This window comes from Homo sapiens, chromosome 8 (genome assembly GCF_000001405.40).
Source record: "Homo sapiens chromosome 8, GRCh38.p14 Primary Assembly".
Taxonomy (NCBI): Eukaryota; Metazoa; Chordata; class Mammalia; order Primates; family Hominidae; genus Homo; species Homo sapiens.
The window spans coordinates 73,260,912-73,276,203 of NC_000008.11; the positions used below are offsets into that span (position 1 = coordinate 73,260,912).

Consider the following 15,292-nt stretch of genomic DNA (forward strand, 5'->3'; position numbering starts at 1 on the left):
AGCTAGAATAAAGCAGGCAAACGTGGAAGGACTTGACCTGTTGAGTCTTCTGGCCTTCATCTTTCTCCCATGCTGGATGCTTCCTGCCCTCAAACATTAGACTCCAAGTTCTTCAGATTTTGGACTCTTGGACTTACACCCAGTGATTTGTCAGGGGCTCTCGGTACTGTCAGTTTCCCTACTTTTGAGGTTTTGGGAATTAGACTGGCTTCCTTGCTCCTCAGCTGGCAGGCAGCTTTTTGCGAGACTTTACCTTGTGATCACGTGAGTCAATACTCCTTAACAAACTCCCCTTCATATATACATCTATCCTATTAGTTCTGTCCCTCTAGAGAACCCTGACTAATACAAGCACATAAAAAGCATGCCTTTCTCCGGTGAGAGACAACAGGGTTCCAGAATGTAGTTTAACACAGCCGCAGTGTATGTGCTGCACACCAGCAGGGAGGGAAGGGGAAAAACAAGAATGTGGCCCAGAACACGGGGAGAGAGGGCAAACGGTGAGGGCAAAGGGGAGAAGAGAAAGAGGGAAAAGGAGGAACAGGGAGAAGGGGAGGGAAGAGAGGAGGGGGAGACCCAAAGGTAGCCTCAGCAATGGGGGAGTAGGGAGAGGCGAGCCCTCCCCAAGAAGCTACTCCTGAGGGGCCACTGCCTCAGATCCTGGAAAGTTATTTATTACAAAGTGAGAAATTAGTTAAAAATAAAGGAGGGAAAGTTTTTAGATTTTGTGATGAGATCTTGGACATGCTTTTTACACTGCTTGAAATGGCAGTGTTGGCAGCTAAAAGTGAGGATGGAGACCAGACAGTAAGGAGCTACAGAGCACAGGTGAAGAGCATTAGGAAACGTAGTCAGGGACAGCAAAGGGAAGGGGAGAATCCAGCTCAGCACTGGTTCCAAAGGCCTGTTTTGGCAGCTCCAACCTGTCCTGCCAGGTCCTCTGGGCCCAGCCCACGCTTCCTTCCCTGCAGCAAGGCTCCAGGCTTGTTCTCTAATGCTGCCACCACCCTCTCTATTCTTGGGGTTGATCCTCTTTCCAAGCAACAAAGAAAGAAGAGTGGCTCCTTCTTTCTTTGATGTACTTGAAGACAAACTCTTTTGATTTCACAGGATTTGTTGCTAAAGACTTGAGAAAACAAATAAGACAATTATAAGCACAAAAATAATGAAAATGGCAACAAAACTAACTAAAATATGGAGTAAATTATAATTTCCAGTCTTAAAGAACTCAGAATCACGATCCAGACTCTAACAGCTTCTTTCTCATTTTATTTGTAAAGGTGAAGATGACCAGACAACTTTCTTTCAGCTTTAAGTCAGCCTCCTCTCCCTCTTCAAAGCCCCTCTTCTAGGACAGAAGAGGCCATCAGGGACTAACAATAAATGCCTCACACCCTCCAGCGGACATCTGCATTTCTGAACATTCCAGACCAAGGTTATACCAAAGAACAGCCCTCTTAGTGGCATTTTATTCTATCAGGCCAAGATAAAGTTTTCCTAAAACTGGCTTTTTAGTAAAAGTTCACATGATAAATACACATTCATTATACTATTGTTATCCTTATGCTTTTGTGTGTATTTGAAATTTTCCAAAATAAAAAAAAATTTTTTTAAGTAACAGCTGGCTGGGCATAATGGCTCACACATGTAATCCCAGCACTTTGAGAGGCTGAGGCAGGAGGATCACTTGAGGCCAGAAGTTTAAGACCAACCCAGGCAACATAGTGAGACCCCCTAATCTACAAAAAATTTTAAAACAGCCAAGCATAGTGGCATACATCTGTAGTCCCAGCTACTGAGGAGGATGAGGTGATAGGACTGCTTGAGCCCAGGAGTTCTAGGCTGCAGTGAGCCATGATCATGCCACTGCATTCTAGCTTGGGCAACAGAGTAAGATCCTGGCTCAAAAAAAAAAAAATTGAAAAAAATCAAAATAAAAGAGCCATATCTGCAAGAATATATAACTTAAGGAATATGCTGAAATCATGAAAAACCAAATATTTTTGATGTGATGTTTCCTGTAAACACGGTCTCTACCTAATTCTAGTGGAAAAAGAAAAATTAAGGATACTTTACAGAACTAATAAAAAGGCTATTTAAAACACACACACACACGTAGGAAGAGATAATAAAAAGAAGAAAGTACTTATGTTCTAGGGCAACCAATTAAAAAATCACTGAAAAAATGCTTTCTCAAATTACCAGTAAAGAGAACTAGTGTTGAGATAAACTTGTTTAAAACTAACAGCTGTGAAAAAATTACTGTATTTTTAAGGCACCCCCAAATATGGGTGTATTTAAACATTTTAAAAATATTTCAGCTGGGCATGGTGGCTCACACCTATAATCTCAAGAATTTGGGAGGCTGAGGTGGGTGGATCAGTTGAGGCCAGGAGTTCAAGACCAGTGTGGTCAACATGGCAAAACCTCATCTGTACTAAAAATACAAAAAAATTAGCCATGTGTGGTGGTGCACACCTGTAATCCCAGCTACTCAGAGGCTGAGGCATGAGAACTGCTTGAACCTGAGAAGTAGAGGTTGCAGTGAGCCGAGATCACACAACTGAACTCCAGCCTGGGTGACAGAGAGAGACTTCATCTCAAAAAATAATAATAAAATATTTCAAATATTTTTAAATTAAGATTTCCTTTTATCACCTAGCTTAGAACTCAAAGGAAATGTTAAATATTGGCTCACATATTTATTATTCATCCACCCATTCGTTCACTCACTTAGCAAAATGTATTGAACATCTGTCATGTCAAGCATGGAAGATGTAATACTGAACCCAAGGAGATAAGGTCCCTGCTCTCCTGAAGCTTAATTGGGGCAGTCAGACAATAGGTAAGTAAATGAATGAACCAAGTTTATTTCAGATAAAGTACAATAAAAGTAGAGTTCTATATTGGTGATGGTTAAGTTCTATAAAGTCACTGTGAACACTGAATTAGCAAATACTGAACCATTGTTCCTAGGGGGACTTATAAGGGTAGGTTCCTATGAGCCTCTGGTCCCAACATTTTCATCAACCAGTCCATACATCACTTTGTCATATTTGTGTTTCTGTTTAAAGACATCTTATTTAATATATACATTATTGATTCATTAACATGGAACTCACGGTCAAATAAGTTAATCTCACACCCGTATTTTTTCCACAAGATACATCACAGCCTTCTTGTGCTTAGGAACACTGAACAGCACTTCAGTGTAACTATACTTGGGGGTCCTCTAAAATAGGAAAATCACCAAAAAAAGGACAGAAATGCAAAAAACATGGTACTAAATAGTGAAAAAGACACTTGTTTACAGTATGGAAGCTAAAACGAGAAGGCAGAGCATTGACTTGTTCGACCTCAGCTGGGAAAGTATACTTCAGGTGAATTTTTTGCTGCTCTGCACATGTCCACAGGAGACTAGGAAAGCATCACAAGTATTGACTTTGGGGTTACAAATACATTTTAGTGAGCAGATGAATCTGTAAGGGCAGAATCTGTGAATAATGAGGGTTGACTTGGCAATGTCATGAGGGGCAAGAAGCGCTTCAGACTGGGTGGCTAAGGAAGGTCTCATTGACAAAGTGATCTCTTTTTTTGAGAAGGAGTTTCACTCTTGTCACCCAGGCTGGAGTGCAGTGGCGCGATCTCGGCTCACTACAACCTCCACCTCCCGGGTTCATGTGATTCTTCTGCCTCAGCCTCCTGAGTAGCTGGGATTACAGGTGCCCACCACCACACCCAGCTAATTTTTGTATTTTTGGTAGAGACAGTGTTTTGCCATGTTGACCAGGCTGGTCTCAAACTCCTGACCTCAAGTGATCCACCTGCCTCAACCTCCCAAAGTGCTGGGATTACAGGCGTGAGCCACCACATCTGGCAATAAGGTGATCCTGAGCTGAGATCTCAATGGACCAGAGTAGCCACAGATATCTGGAGGAATATCTAAAAGTGAAGAGCACTCTTCACAAAGAGAACAGTGAGTGCAAAGGCTATAAAACCAGAATGAGGTTGGCATGTTCTATAGGTAGACAAGCTCTGTGTATCACAGCTATGGTATCCAATATGGTAGACCCTAGTCATAGGTGGCTACTGAGCACTTAAAACATGCTAGTCAGAATTGTGATGTGCTATAAGTGTAAAATACACATCAGATTGCAAACACTTCTTGAGGAAAAAAAAAAGAATCTAAAATATCTCATTAACAATTTATATGCTGTATTGATTTTATGTTGAAATGATACTAGTTTGGATACTTTGGATTAAATAAGGTTATTTACATTAATTTCACCTGTCTCTTTTTGCATTTTTAATGTGGCTTTCAGAAATTTTTAAATTACATATGAAGCTAGCAAAGGGGAGAGGAGAATAAGACAAGGTTTGAAAGATAGCAGATATCAGGTATTTTAGGGCTTTATAAGTCATAACAGAGTTTGGATTTTATTCTACGTGCATCAAAAATCCATCAGAAGGCTTTGAATAGGAAGAAACATCTTAGAGTTGGGTTAAAAGCAAATCTCTGGTTTAAAGGCACATAAAGGACACTGTGGAACACAAAGAAGGGAGTTGTTAATTCTCAGGAAAGGCTTTAAGGAGATGACCCCCCTAAGCTAAGTCCAGGTTGGAGGAGTGGTCAGACCTCTTTATAGAGTCGTTGCTGGGCAATGACACAGAGGTATCAAAAGAACTTCTCTGTTCAAGGAATGTAAGCAGTTAAATATGGCTAGCATGGTGATCTCTCCCATGCCATTCTTCAAAGAATCCTAAATCTATATCTTCAGGCATCTCTTCTGAGCAATCAGCATACAAAAAGAACTGCTTATTAGGGAGCTTTACCTGGATGTCTCAAGGGCATCTCAAATTCAAAATGCCCCCAAACTAGCCACGTTTTCCAACTGAAGTATGTTTCCTTCCAGATTCCCTAACAGTACCTGACATCATCATGCTCCAGTAACAAAAGGTAGAAACCTGGATGCCAACATGGACACCCCTCTTTCCTCCTAAATCTTGTCATTCAATAAGAGCTGTTCGTTTTATCTCTTACATATCTCTTAATCTGTCTACTTCTCTCCATCTCCACCCTACTCCAAGCTACTGTCATTTCATGCCTGGGTTGTTGTATTAGGATTTAACTGATCTCCTCACATCCAGTCACATTCCCACAGTCTAAAATTTGAATTTCAAAACACTAATGAAGGTATCTTAACTTTTAAAAAATGATTCTTACCTTTTCTTGTATCTCCATTCATCTGGAGAACAGAAAAGAAATTGATAAAGAGGGAGACAGAAGAGTGAAAACCTTCGGCCACCTCTGGCTCATTTAGGATGACTGTGTAGCTGGCAGGCAGCCTTCTGGGCTTTTCAGTGAGTGAATGGACCTGCTTATGGTCCCTCACAGAACTCTGAGATGGAGCAATCTATGAAGCCCTTCTATCTTGGGATAGATTGCTCAAAGTTTCTATCCACTCATTTGAGGTGTCATCATGACATGGGAAAAGATGGCTGGAATATGAATGGCTTACACAAGAATATTTTCCACCATATAAAAGCCTGGCCAGACCTCTCAAGGCTGGTGCCAGGATGTCAGAGAGCCAGACTACTTCTATCTTACTGCTCTACCTCCCTGAACGTACAGGATCTACCTTATGGTTTGAGGTGGCTTTTCAGTAGGTGAATGTTTATATGGTGCTGATGGCAACCAAGGTTTCCAGTGTTGGAGAAAAACATAAAGATTTAAGATCAATAAGATTAAGTGAAAACTCCCAAAGTCCTAAACATGAATTGGAAGTATCATTATACAGGCTTTTATTTAAAATAACCATGAAAAAATGTTTCCTAGCACTGTCCACTGAACTGCAGGCGCCCAGAAACAATCATCAAACCAAGAGCATTAAAAACCCCTAACAACCAGGCTGTGATCTCATTCCTGAAAAAAGAAAAAAAAAACTAGGGCCCCTGGAAGAAGTAGCTGATTCCAGGTCTGTGGTAGGAAATATACAAAATGAACCTGTAATAATTTGTCATTTCAGAAGTCTAGGAATCTATCAAAGACAACTGCAATCATGGCAGTCACCGATTTAATGAGGTGCCAACTGACCAAAGATAGGACTATAAACCTTAATAAGAATATTAACTTTAATGGATTAAAATATGTTAAGCATGTAGAATACACAAATGTGTAAATATACGGTAATCCCCCCTTATCCCTGGGGAATACAGCTCAAGACTTCCAGTGTGTGCCTGAAACTGTGGATAGTACTGAACCCTATATATGCTATGTTTTTTCCTATATATACATACCTATGATAATTTATAAATTAGGCACAGTAAGAGATTAACCACAACAGCTAATAATAAAATAGAACAATTATAACAATGTACTATAATAAAAGTTATGTGAATGTGCCCTTTCTCTCAAAATATTTTATTGTATGTAATATTTTCTGACCTCAGTTGATGATGGATAACTGAAACCAGAAACTGAAAATGAGGGGGAACTGCTGTACAGCACTTAAAAACAAAACAACAGCAAAAACAAATGAAAACCTTACTCATCTTTGGAGGATACTAAAGGATCAACTTAATTTGAAACCCAATACATATCAGGAAATAACCAAGCATTTATTCAAATAAATGATGATAGGAAAGTTTCTCACAGTATCTCAACTAATAAATGAGGGAATTAGAGTATGATTATAAAATATTACCATTTTGCAAACCTTAATAAATGGAGCTTGGCAATTATGACGATTAATGTTTTGTTTCAGCTTGGTTAGGCTATATAGTATCTAGTTATCTAATTAAACACTAATCTAGGTGTTGCTGGGACAGTATTTTGTAGATGTAGTTACCACGTACAGTCAGTTGACTTTAAGTAAAGGAGATTTTCCTCAATAATCTGAGTGGGCTTTATCTAATTAGTTGAAAGTCCCTGGAGAAAAACTGATGTTTCCTTGAGGAAGGAAATTCTACCTCAACACTGCAGTACTAACTCCTGCCGAAGATGTGTCTCTGGCAGAACACCACCATCTATATAGCATTCTTGCCAGAAAAAAATCAAACCCAACTCTGATGAAGCCTTTAGATCTAACTCCTGATTTAGAGGAATAGAAGACAAAACAACATATTAAATGGCATCGCGGGGATACAATCAGCAAAATCAGACTGCAGTTTTGACCTGAGACAAATAAACTGTTTCTTTCCACAAATAAATTACAATTAATCAGTCAATCATCCGTATAGGGGGTAGGGATAATCTATAGATTAAAAGAGATTTAAGAAACATAGCAGGCTGGGCGCGGTGCCTCATGCCTGTAATCCCAGCACTTTGGGAGGCCGAGGCAGGCAGATCACGAGGTCAGGAGTTCGAGACCAGCCTGGCCAACATGGTGAGACCCTGTCTCTACTAAAGATAAAAAAAATTAGCCAGGTGTGGTGGCACGCACCTGTAATCCCAGCTACTCAGGAGGCTGGGGCAGGAGAACTGCTTGAACCTGGGAGGCAGAGGTTGCAGTGAGCCGAGATCGCGCCACTGCACTCCAGCCTGGGCGACAGGGTGAGACTCTGTCTCAAAAAACAAAAAAAAAAGAAAAGAAACATAGCAAACAATTGCAGTGTATGAACTTTGCATGAATTGCTTTTTAAAAGATACTCTATGAGACAATCAGGGTAGTCTGAGCACTGACAGGATATTTGATAGCATTAAAGAATTATGATTAATTTTTTAAGATGTCATAATGGTTTGTGTTTTCAAAAGAACTCTCATCTTTCCAGATATATATGGAAATATTTATGGATAAAATGATACAATGTTTGTGATTTGCTTCCATATAATGGGCGTGGGAGGGAGAGGGTAGTGGTGACAGTATGGGTAAAACCACATCAGCCATGAGTTGCTAATTGTTGCAATGAATGGCTGGTACATTGGGCCTTATTATATAACTCTTTCTACTTTGGGATGTTCTGAGCATACTCCACAATTGAAAAACAAGACAAAACAGCTTGAGCTCCTGCCTACAGGAAGAAGGAAGGGGAGAGACATTCTCCTTCCCTTTAAGGTCACTTTCCAGAAGTCATACAGAGTTTTGATTATATCCTATTGATTAGAACTTAGCCATGTGGTCACACCAAGCTGCAAAACAAGGTGGAAAATGTAGACTTCATTGTGGGGATCAAGTATCCAGCAAAAATGTCAGGAATCTTTTTAGTGAAAAAAAAGAAGGAACAGGTACAGTGAGAAAACTTTAGCAATCCCTGCTACACTGGCTAGGGCAAAATCTCTATTTAAAAATTAGTCTAAACATGTCATTCCCTCCCTTTATGTCTCATAATATAATACAGGGAATACTTAATAATTGTCCTGTAGAATTTGAGGAAAAGTGATTACGAGTATAAAATATATTTTGCTGTTATGCCACAATCTCCCTAAAAAACTGACAATAAGTTTTTGCTCTCCTAAAATGAAAAGATGAAAACCTCTCAGTTAACCACCACTGTCATAAATCACATTGAAACAATAGTCTCTGCTCTAATACAGAATTTTTCCAAACCTAATACAATAGAAAACTTTGAACATTCATTATAGTCTGATCTGCACTGGGTGAGAAGCAATGGCAGATGCACAGTGTTCTTTTCCATTAGCAGAACCACCAACCCTTACAGCGACTCTGGGCTGCCTCAGGATAAATTCATCCACCCAGCAAACCTTCAAAGCACTTAATATATGCAGGTAGATTTAAGCAATCATCTATTCAGCATTCCTGCAGGCTGTGCACTAAGATACTACTGTCTGCCTCCTCCAATAATACAACACAAACCCAGCTCCTTAGGGGCTCCCATGACATAATAACTCAATATAGTATGTAAACAGAGTAAGCTTCAAAAAGCTGTAGCTTTCACTGTTATTTTAAAAATCAGCACTACTCAGCACTTGACACATATTGTTTTAAAAGCAGAATTCTTAAACAAAAATTTTAAAATGTATTAAAAGGTGACCTCAACATAGAGATCTGGTTATATTTATCTATATTTTTGAAGATATTAAGAAGGTAAGGGGTTCCTGTTTACAGAGATTAAACTCACTGAAGCAACACTAGTATGTTAATGGGGAAAGTTGTTCCTGTTAATATAAGAACCTTCATTAAAAACTTATAGTAGCAAGAAAATCTTTAATTACTTAGTGGAAGAGAATAGAATCATTGAGTGAAATGAAAAACAACAAAGTTTTTTTTTCAAATCTTCATTTTTAAAACCTCAGTCATTATAATAAAAATTTATTCTGTGCAAGATTTCTGGAATTAGAATTGCCCATGCACCCCCATCCCAATACCAAACATCTAAAAATAAGCAAGGAGATAAGTGAAAGTCGTTGAAAATTTAATAGCGTAATAACCAGTTTTTCAAAGTCAGGTCTACGTATCTGTATAAAAAGAATATCTAACTCCTGTCTGAATTGAGATCCTTACTTGAAAATTAACAGAATGGTTCAACAGAAATCACTGATTAAGAGACCTAATCCCCTAATTTTTGAGTTAAACAAACAGATTTGGGGAGGTTAAATGGTTTGCATCAAATGTTATGCAACAGAAAACAAAACAAAACAAAACAAAAACTATTACTTTTATCAAATTATCTTTCAGGAAGGAGGGGAGATGGCCGAAGGAACACAACTAAAGAAGAAATATTAAAATGAAGCTCTAACAAAATTTAAAAAATAGTCCAGACGTGGTGGCTTACACCTGTAATCCCAGCACTTTGGGAGGCCAGGGCAGGTGGATCACTTGAGCCCAGGAGTTCGAGACCAGCCTGGGAAACACAGGGAGACCTGGTCTCTAATCTTATAAATAAACAAATAAATTAATAAATAAATATTAACAAAATAAGCAGCATTCAGAAAAATTAGGAAAAACACTTGCAAAGTGCTTATGTGAACAAAAGTATTTCCCACTTCCAAAATCTGAAAGCAATTAATTTGCTTATTTGTGTCTAAATATTCAACTTACAGGAAAAGTTACATTTAAGCTTTCCCTAAATAAAGTTCTGTGAAATAAAACTTCACAGCCTGTGAATCAAGAAATGAAGAGATGAATGTATATAGATGCAATGGTGAGTGATATATTTACATCCCCATCCATGCCACCTCAAAGCCCTTTGCCAATCCCCCATTCCTGCCACCCCTTCCTGGATAAGGCAGCCATTTATTTTCATGTCAACCTGTCTATGCCTCAGTCTCCCAATCTTGAGAACTAGCACACTCTGCCTTACAGAGTCATTGTGAAGTTTAAAGGTAACTTAAGGAAAACACCTGCTATAGCTTGAATATGGTTTGTTTCCTCCCCAAATCTCATGCTGACTTTTACCCCCAGTGTGGTGGTGTTGGGAGGTGAGGCCTAGTGGGAGGTGTTTGGGTCATGGGAGTGGATCTCTCATGAATGGCTAGGTGCCTCTTCTCCTGGCAGTGGGTGAGTTCTCACTCTCATGAGACTGGATTGGTTCTGGGGAAATGGATTACATCTCAGGAGAGGGAGTTGTGATAAAGCCAGGATGCCCCTTGGGTTAGGTCCCTCTTTGCACGTGCCCACTTCCCCTTAGACTTTCTCTGCCATTTTTTGATGCAACACAAAAGCCCTTGCCAGAAGCCAACCAGATGCCAGAGCCATACTTCTTGTACAGCTTGCAGAGACATGAGTGAAATAAACCACTTTCCTTTATAAATTACCCAGCCTCAGGTATTCTTTTATAGCAACACTAAACATACTAAGACAGCACCTAACTAAATGCCTAGTGTATTAGTCCATTTTCATGCTGCTGATAAAGACACCCGAGACTGTGCAATTTACACAAGAAAGAGGATTATTGGGCTTACAATTCCATGTGGCTGGAGAGGCCTCACAATCATGAGGGGGGAAACCACTCCCATGATTCAATTATCTCCCACCAGGTCCCTCCCACAACATGTGGGAATTATAGGAGAACAATTCAAGATGAGATTTGGACGGGGACACAGAGCCAAACCATATAACCTAGTACACTGCTTTAATTCTCAAGCAAGAATCTTCATTTCAGACCACAGTAAGGGATCCTTCTTAAGCACAGAAAGAAATGATAGCTGCAATTATTATCATAATCATCATGATTATTATTATAGGCCAAGAATCGACTAATGGCTGGGGTAGGGGATGTATAGCTTGACTCAATGCCTCTTCCTCTTTCCTTTCAGGGTGAAACTACAAACTTAGATCTCCACCTTTTCCCCCTTTACCACTGGCAATTCAATTAATTCCTAATGAGAGAAGTATATCTTTCTTGCAGATTCAGAAACATTTTCTAAGTTCCTTTTTCCTTTCTCCTCTCTCCCACCTTTGACCAGTTAACTCAGGAAAATTGTCCATTTCTATGCCCATTTGTGAAAGGACCTAATCAGGGCTTAATATACTTATTATTGTAATCATAATAAAATTAAAACATCTAACATTCCTTGAATACTCACTGTACCAAGCACTATGACATGCACATTATATCAGCCCACTTAATTCTTTTTTTTAATATATATATATTTTTATTATACTTTAAGTTCTAGGGTACATGTGCACAACGTGCAGGTTTATTATATATGTATACATGTGCCGTGTTGGTGTGCTGCACCCATTAACTCGTCATTTACATTAGGTATATCTCCTAATGCTATCCCTCCCCCCTCTCCCCACCCCATGATAGGCCCCGGTGTGTGATGTTCCCCTTCCTGTGTCCAAGTGTTCTCATTGTTCAATTCCCACCTATGAGTGAGAACATGCAGTGTTTGGTTTTTTGTCCTTGCGATAGTTTGCTGAGAATGATGGTTTCCAGCTTCATCCATGTCCCTACAAAAGACATGAACTCATCATTTTTTTATGGCTGCTTAATTTTTGTAAAGTGTAAATATTGAGCCTACCTTGGAGGATGGCACTATTATTATTATCATCTCTATTTTACATTGAGAAACCTGGGGTTTAGATAACAAAATCCAATAGCTACTAACTGTTTGAAATGGAAATCTAACTCAGGCCACCTTCCCAACTGCAAAGATGATGCCCTTAATCTCTCTCCTATAATGCCAAGGAAAAAGGTAAGTAAAATCAGAGAAATTAGGAGCCTCAAAAGTTTTCAGAATTTTGTTCAAAACTTCTGATGGCAGCGGCAACCGGCCTGGAGTGGTCATTGCCATGATGCCAGTTGCAGTGGGGGAGGTGCAGCCAGGGCTGCATGCTCCATGGAGCCAGTGGGAGCGAGGAACAGGCAGAAGCCGTGCCCGTTTCTGAGTGGCGGGGCAAAAGTCCCATGTTCCTGGGCACAGCTGCAGCCACCCAGCCATGGCTGCAGACCTGGGCATCCCTGCACTCTCAGGGCCCCGGAAACCACTTGCCTCTGTAGGCTTCAAAGTGCTTGCTTCCCCTGCCTGGCCTCTCCCAGCTCCCAGTGCCCACTCTGATTTTAGAGCAAAGTTATGGCCGAGCCCAGGCACTGTCACAACCTGGCTGGGCGTGTGCTCGCTCAGGGAGGCACTAACATGCCAGCCGCCTGCCACCTTGGCCCTCTCCAGACTGTGGTCACTGATGAGCACAGGAGGGAGGCCGAGGTGGGGCTGAGGGCAGCTCAGTTTGGCCCTGCAGGAACCCCTCTGCATGAATAGCCTGGGCGCCATGGGCACCATGGACGGCAGGTTGATGGCGGCAGGAGTCAGGCTCCTAGGTGGAAAGAGGCGGTCCCCAGTGAAGCCTGAAGCCTGGGGCCCAGGCTGTCAGTTCCACGTGAAGTCTGCGCCCAGAGTGAGAACTTGTGGTGCTTTTTTGTTGGTGATGCCAGTTTTTTTTTTTTTTTCTGAAAGATACTTCAAACTTCAAAATTTAAATGGGAGATTGATACATAAGATGGTCTTCTTAATATCCAACTGTTTATCTTGCTTAACCTTGGTAACTATATGGAATGTATTCTAATTATTTTATTTCTTAGTTAAGTATATTTTATGACTCTTAAAACTACTAAATAGAACTAAGAAATACCATTAAAAGGTCAAAATGTTATATTTTGTAATGATATATCATCCAAATTATGCTTTTCTGAAACGTTCATCTAATTTTTTTTACCACCTTGAGATTACTGTTAACTATTTTCTCTTTTATATTATATTGCTTGTCAAAAGGACTTTTTTTGGGTGAGGGGAGACAGGTGCTTACCTGACACTATATTATTTAGTATACAGCAGACCATATTTCATCTTTTTTTTTTGAGATGGAATCTTGCTCTGTCGCCCAGGCTGGAGTGCAGTGGCGCGATCTCAGCTCACTGTAAGCTCCGCCTCCCGGGTTCACGCCCTTCTCCTGACAGCCTCCCGAGTAGCTGGGACTACAGGCACCCGCCACCACGCCTGGCTAATTTTTTGTATTTTTAGTAGAGATGGGGTTTCACCGTGTTAGCCAGGATGGTCTCAACCTCCTGACCTTGTGATCCGCCCACCTCGGCCTCCCAAAGTGCTGGGATTACAAGTGTGAGCCACCGCACCTGGCCATTTCATCTTTTTTAGGTTATCTTTTGTTTGCTTTAAAAAATGCATTGGTACAGAGAGAAATGTAACATTTGTTTCCCTATCACCCTAACATTATGCTAAATATATGCTAATATTGCTTAAATATTAGCAAAATTTAAGAATTTGCATGTTTGCGTCCTATGTTTTTAAGGGAAAGACAGCAAATATTTTTCCATCCCCCATCATGCTCCTTTTCCGGAAGCAACCACTCTCATAAATTTGGTGTGAATCCTTGAAGTCTGCTTTTATATTTTAACTGCACGTAGGTATAGGAGAAAAGATACTGAGTTGTTTGATATCTTATTAGTTTTACATAAATAAGTTACACATATCTTCTGCAACTTTTTTTCACTCGAGATTGAGTCATTGAGATTGAGTCACATGAGACTGAGATTGAGTGTACATATAGATTTAGTTTATTGATTTTAGCTGCTGTCTATATCATATCGATTATATGAATATGTAATTATCCATCCTCCTACAAGTGGTAAGGTGAATTGTTTAGAATTTTCTAATATTACAAACAATATGACAGTTAATATCTTTGTAAATGACTCCTAATACACATGTGTGTTTCTGCAGGGCAATATACCTAAAATTGGATTCACTGGTTTGTAAGATGTGCAGATATTTAACTTTACTTACTACTAATAGATTATTCTCCATGTACTAATCTTAATTTATACTGAATAAGTGGTTATCTCTACCTGTATTCCCATAATTTTTGTTTACCCACATTCTTATGTACACTTGTAATAGTTCTTTTTTTTTTTTTTTTTTTTTTTTTGAGACATAGTCTTGCTGTCACCCAGGCTGGAATGCAGTGGCTTGATCTCAGCTCACTGCAACCCCTGGCTCCCAGGTTCAAGCAACTCTCCTGTCTCAGCCTCCGGAGTAGCTGGAATTACAGACATGCCCCACCACACCTGGCTAACATTTTGTATTTTTAGTACAGACAGGTTTTCACCATGTCGGCCAGGCGGGTCTCAAACTCCTGACCTCAAGTGATCAACCCACCTCAGCCTCCCAAAGTGCTGGAATTACAGGCATGAGCCACTGTACCCTGCCAATTAAGCTATTTTAATTTTTGCTAATCTTTGGATGTTAAATGGTACCTTGTTAATTTTTACTTCCCTAAAAGTGTTTATTTGCCACTTAGGTTTCCTCTTCTGTGAAATGCCTATTTCTATGCTTTCCCCATTTTTGTACAGGGTTTTGTTTTATTCTTATTTGTAGTGCTTTATATTTGGTGAGTACTAATTCTTTATATGTTATATATGTTGCAAATATCTCTCCCAATATTAGTTTATTTTTAACCTGTTTATGTCTTTTAGTTTATCAGAAACTTTAAATTTTGATATAGTCAAATTTGTCTATTTTTCTATAATATCATATTGAAGAAATCCTCTTTCCTACTCTAAGACAAAAAGATAAAGCCAAGATCCCCTAATATTTGAGTCTGATTTTGATACTGTTTCTCTGATCTTATTAACTACCCCTGAGCCATTATCACATTACCTTAATTTCTAAAAATTATATATGCATTTATGTGTGCATATAAGCTTATTTCTGTTTGGTTTTTGTTCGCTCCCTTGTTTTATGAAGCTTCCTGAGAAAGGGTTCATAGGAAGTAAAATTTTTTTATGGTAAATATATTTTTATTATTAGTTGTATCAGAAAAGCTTGTACATACAGGTGATTTCTGATGCTTTTTTTTTTTTTTTTGAGATGGAG

General features: G+C 39.5%; 1 protein-coding gene and 1 long non-coding RNA gene across 3 annotated transcripts in view; one reads left to right on the forward strand and one right to left on the reverse strand.

Annotated features, from left to right (window-relative positions):
- LOC105375901 (uncharacterized) overlaps positions 1-1,344 on the forward strand; it is a 37,845-nt gene extending 36,501 nt beyond the window's left edge. The window contains exon 4 of the long non-coding RNA XR_929046.3: positions 1,281-1,344. This is a non-coding gene — a long non-coding RNA (uncharacterized LOC105375901). The remainder of the gene's footprint in view (positions 1-1,280) is intronic.
- The window catches only part of C8orf89 (chromosome 8 open reading frame 89), a 44,602-nt gene that overhangs the window by 19,581 nt on the left and 9,729 nt on the right, over positions 1-15,292 (reverse strand). The gene's annotated exons all lie outside the window — the stretch shown is intronic.